At 39.4% G+C, this 5,688-nt stretch overlaps 2 annotated features.

The window, feature by feature from the left end:
- Nucleotides 1,178-1,695: an enhancer, noted in NCBI's record as "NANOG hESC enhancer chr4:124506198-124506715 (GRCh37/hg19 assembly coordinates)". NCBI's record gives its function as "activates a minimal SCP1, AML or CMV promoter by ChIP-STARR-seq in naive H9 embryonic stem cells {active_cell/tissue: H9 hESC(naive)}" and the evidence as "EXISTENCE:reporter gene assay evidence [ECO:0000049][PMID:30033119]".
- Nucleotides 4,967-5,016: an enhancer, noted in NCBI's record as "active region_21881". NCBI's record gives its function as "activates an Ori minimal core promoter by ATAC-STARR-seq in GM12878 lymphoblastoid cells {active_cell/tissue: GM12878}" and the evidence as "EXISTENCE:reporter gene assay evidence [ECO:0000049][PMID:35858748]".

A 5,688-nucleotide genomic window follows, 5' to 3' on the forward strand; every position in this document is an offset into this window, starting at 1 on the left:
GTATGGTGTGATCATATACTTGGCTGAGGGCCTCAGATTTCCCTGTAGATTTGCTTTCACATGGAGCTGGGGTTTGAGCCCAGGGTCATCAGATTCCAGAACCATGCCCTGACTCCTATGCTACATTACCTGCTAAGAAAAGTGAGGATAGGATGCTAATTGATGTATTATACCAGGATATGAGGCTCGATAAAGAGGTTCTTACTATAAACAGCAATACCTATCACTAGTCTAAAATGAATTTTAGCTGATTTAAGCAGAAAAGAAACATTAAAAATATACTAGATGGCTCATAGAATTTCCAGAAAGATTTGGGACTTGGAGGTCATGTATCCAGGAATAATGCCCCATATTACAGGGCAAAACAGACCCAGTGAAGATATTTCTGTGCTGTTGACTATACCGCGGGCCCCTATGACATGGGTCCTGCTTCTTGAGCCCCTGCCCTGGCTGCCTCTGGGATGAAGATCCAGTTATCCATGGTTCACATGCATGCTGCATGCTCCTTGCTTCTTCCCGACATGGCACTGGACATTGATTTCAAGTCTAGGGCAGGTGATTCCAATTGGCAGAACCTAGGTCATGTGTTAGACTAATTGTCAGGGAGACTTAGAATGCAAATATCTGGTATCTTAGTTCCCACAATGGACAAGGGCATTAGATTACCCAGGAGGCCAAAGAGTGACAAATTCCACAACTGTTCTTTTGGTTCTTTCATATTTTTCTTCTCTCTCTCTTCTGTTAAGCAAAATCTACCCACCCTTTAAGGTTCAGTTTATATCCCATTTCATCTGTGGAATTTTCTCTGACTTTGCTAGTCTTTCATTTTATCCCTCCTCTGAGCATTACTTACAGCCAGAATGAGTTGTGAAAATATAATATTCAGAAGTTGACTTCATATCATTAGCCCTGACCCTTATTGTGCCCATAAACTGTTGTAGCTAACATTGTATTTGGTGGCATTTTTGGATAGTTAATAGAGAAATAGCCTACAAGACAGAAATCAGTGAGTATTTATAGCTTCCTCTTTTTCCATCCAACCTGTCCTTCTTGTTATGTCTTTGGTTTTTATGTGATAGTCAATACTGTGTTGTGGCTATTATTTTGTATTTTCTAGTCTCTTTAACAGAAGGAATTCCTGAGGAAGGTAGCAACCATATCTAGTACTTCTTCTGTGATGTTTATAAAATGGTGCAAACAGTACATATTCATTGATTGGTTGAGAATAAGTATGCCTAAAAAATGCAACATTTGGTATATTTGGATCCTTTGATCCAAGTTGGTGTTCACTTGAAGTCAGAATACCTCATTTGTAGAAACAGTAACAAAACTTTCTCCCTTCCTGTAAAATCTTGCTTTCAATAGGATTGACAATGAAACACTTTATTATGGAACTGAAGATCCTCTTAGGAATGTTAGGTTCACAGTCTACATAGTAAAGAACCTTCTTTGAATGTCCACACACAAAGGCTGACTGCATAATCCTTTAATATGCTTTTCACAGACTTAATTCAATGGGAGTCAGGAGGAGGCTTTCGGTACTGAACAGTTTACCTGTCAGATTTGTCTTGGTAAATATACATACCTATTCTAATAACTGCTATCTATCATAAGAATGATTTGGGCCGGGTGTGGTGGCTTATGCCTGTAATCCCAGCACTTTGGGAGGCTGAGGCAGGCACATCACCTGAGGTCAGGAGTTCGAGACCAGCCTGGCTAACATGGTGAAACCCTGTTTCTACTAAAAATGCAAAAAATTAGCCAGGTTTGGTGGCGCGCACATGTAATCCCAGCCTGTAATCCCAGCTACTCGGGAGGCTGAGGCAGGAGAATCGCTTGAACATGGGAGGCGGAGGTTGCAGTGAGCTGAGATCGCACCATTGTACTCCAGCTTGGGAAATAAGAGCAAAACTCTGTCTCAAAAACAAAAAACAACAACAACAAAACCCAATGATTTGAAAGACTAATATCTGATTTTCCCATTAAAATGTATGTAACACATTTTCTATTATGGTTTTCTTTAAAAAAAGTTTTTAAATGATAATTTTTTAAAGCAATCTGAGAAATGTGCATACCCTCTAAAACAAATCTCCCTGTGTGCTACACTTAAATAATTTCCCAGTAGTAGGTTTAGATTTGCTATTACCATTTTTTATTACCTTATTCTAAGCATCTTGCATACTCATTTGTAGATGTGAAGGTATAAATCTGCATCATTTGTGCATTCAAATCTCATAAACCCTTTTCAAAAGAACTGTTTTTTTTCTACTTTTTTTTATTTAAAAATATTTATTAAGCAGATTGGGAGAAATATTTGTAATTCACATATCTGGTGGAGAATGCATGTCCAGACTATACAAAAAAACTTTTAAAACTCCAAGAAAACAAACAACCCCCCCAAAATGAATAAAATATTTGAGTAGACATTTTGCTAAAGAAGTATGGACGGCAAATAGACACACTAAAATGTGCTCAACATCATTAATTTCTAGGGAGATGAAAATTAAAATTACATCTATTAAAATGGCTAAAATACAAAGAAACTGATTATGTTACGTGTTGGTGAGGATGTAGAGAAACTAGAATTCATAGATAGCTGCTGGGAATGTGAAAGGAAATATAGCCTCTGGCAAACAGTTAAGCAGGTTCTTATGAAGTTAAACCTGTACTTACTATGACCCAGTAATCCTATTCTAGTTATTTATCCAAATTAAATAAAAATGTGTATTCACATAAAAAGCTGAATGTGATTATTTATAGCTACTTTATTCACTATCTCCTCAAGCTGGAAACAACTCAAATGTCTCTCAACTGGGAATGGGTATAATTACTGTGGCAGATTTATAAATGGAATACTTCTTAGCAATAAAAAGGAATGAACTACTGCTACAGTAATAACAGTAATAATTTGGATGGATCTCAAATGCATTATATTAAGTGACAGGAGCCATACTCTAAAGACTGCAGACTGAATGCTTTCATATATATATAACATGCAGGACCATAGGAACAGAAAACAGGGATGCCAGGGACTGGGGCTGAGGGGAAGGGGTTAGCTGCAATAGGATGGGATATGTTTTGGGGTAATGGAACTTGTCTATATCTTGATTGTGGTGGTGGTGGTTACATGACTGCATGTATTTATCAAATTTCACGGAACTGTACATGAAAAAGGGAGAATTTGACATATGTAAATCATACTTTAGTACAAAAGACATTACTAATTAAGTTTATTTTAGGCCTGAACTAACTGGTAAGCCCTGAGAATACAGAGATCAATAAGAAGGTCAATCTAGCTGAAGAAGTAAATGTGAAGGGACATAGGCAAATATAATACAAGTCAGCCCATGGTATTTTATAATAGAGATGTAATACAGTACTAGGGTAGCCTAAAGAAGGTTGCAGTAAGTGGAGCACAGTGGCTTGCACCTGTAATCCCAGCACTTTGGGAGGCCAAGGCAGGCAGATTGCTTGAGCCCAGGAGTTCAAGACCAGCCAGGACAACATGGTAAAACTCCATCTTTACTAAAACTACAAAAATTAGCTGGGCATGGTGGCACACACCTGTAATCCCAGCTACCCAGGAGGCCAAGGTGGAAGGATCACTTGAGCCCAGGAGGTCAAGGCTGCAGTGAGCTATGATCGTGCCACTGCATTCCAGCCTGGGTGACAAAGCAAGAGCCTGTCTCAAAAACAAAAAATATTGCTTTAAACTCTAATATTGTCTGTATGTGTGTGCTCATGTTCTGGGGGCAGGTGGGTGGGGGGCAGGTGTGTAACAGAGCCTCACAAGGAAGTGACATTCAATGAATGGAAAATAATTCCTCTGTAAGTTAGGTTGAGTGAGGAACAGAGAACAGGCACATCCAAATCACAGTCACTAATGTGAATAGAGTAAATGAGTTCTCAAAAAAAGAAAAAGAAAAAAGAAAGAAAAAGGCGAGCATGAGTTTTTATTTTTATTTATTTATTTACTTTTTATTATTTTTTTTTGAGACCGAGTCTCACTCTGTTGCCCAGGCTGGAGTGCAATGGCGTGATCTCAGCTCACTGCAACTTCCGTCTCTGGGGTTCAAGCAATTCTCTTGCCTCAGACTCCCAAGTAACTGGGATTACAAGCACATGTTGCCACGTCCAGCTAATTTTTTTGTATTTTAATAGAGATGGGGGTTTCACAGTGTTGCTCAGGCTGATCTCAAACTCCTGAGCTCAGGCAATCCACCCGCCTGGGCCTCTCAAAGTGCTAGGATTACAGGCGTGAGTCACCGTGCCCAGCCTGTGAGTTTTTAATAAACCAGTTAAAATTTGTTTATCCAAAGGAGAAGAAATACAAACAATACTGGACACATGCAAGATGTGTTTTTTCTTAGCGGCAGCTGCTAACCATCCTGGCTTCCTGGCAGGGAGCAGGTTATCATCTATCCTGTGACTACGAGGGCACACCCTGCGTTAGCCCTGAGGCAAAGAGATAATAATAGCATGCTAGACTGGCAGCCTACACTCTGGAAGGGTTTATGAGGAGGAAGTCCGCAATTACATATTTCTGGGCAAACATTAACCAAGATTGAAACCCAGATTTGAAGAAAAATAGCAGGCTGGAATCTTCAGACAGATTCTGTAGCTGTTCTGTGGATTGAAACAGTAGTCAGACACGCTGCTAACTCCAAAAGGTAAGGTAAAAGATTGAGATGGCAGTATATAAAACTTGGTAAGAAAACTTTTCCACACCTGCCCACAGAATGTGTTCTGTAACACACAGAGCATTGTCCACATATGAATGATGAGAAATTATTTACATTCATGACAACAGAACCGAAGCCACAACATAGGGTCTATTGTTCACCTCATAGGGGTGACCGAATCTATTTATCCATGTGGTTTGGGAGCTCACCACTGTGCATTGAAGGGCCTCCTGTTGGCAACATCACCAAGAGCATTTCAGTCACTGTTACTACAATCTGAACAATTTGGGTTCCACGCTGTGGTTTTGTAATTTCTATTTTTAAAACTTGAACCATGGTGTGTCCAGTCTTGGTTGGGCATACTTAAAATGAAACTGTTAAGCTAAAATTAGCTTGACATCAAGACGTTGCATGTTCATTTTCCTTATATTTATAGCTGACCACAGTCATTATACAGAAGCCATCTAGTCTTTACTGTGCACTCTAGGGAACAGGAGGGGCAGTGGGAGTAACCAAAAAAAGAACTACAAGTTTTTCCAAAGGCGGTTGGTCGTAACTACTGCCTGAGCAGAGCGGTGCCTGCGTCTTAGTGAGGTCAGCCCAAGTGGGACTGACCTCACTAAGATGAGGACTTTCCTTTGAACAGCTGTTTACTCTTCAGTTCTTCTGCAGTTAATCAACAGTGATGGGACCTTTTCTAAAAGTTTTGCTTAGGGCCTCAGAATTTAACTTAAATCACCACGAAGGAAGTATATACAACAAAGCTTCCTCTTAGTATTTCTTCACCAAGTAATTATCTACTGACATATCCAACAGGTGAAGATAAATGGACTCATCATGGTGTAAAAAAGAATTTTTGACTAAGAGTCAGAAGATCTTAGTTTTAGTTCAGTTTTTCTTCCGTTGGGTGTGTGGTTTGGGCCTCAATTTCATCCAATAAAATTCAAAGGGTTGAACTAAGATCCTTCCAGTTCAAAATTCTGATATTTCTCAACTTCTCGGAAGG

Source organism: Homo sapiens, chromosome 4 (genome assembly GCF_000001405.40).
Source record: "Homo sapiens chromosome 4, GRCh38.p14 Primary Assembly".
NCBI classification, from domain to species: domain Eukaryota; kingdom Metazoa; phylum Chordata; class Mammalia; order Primates; family Hominidae; genus Homo; species Homo sapiens.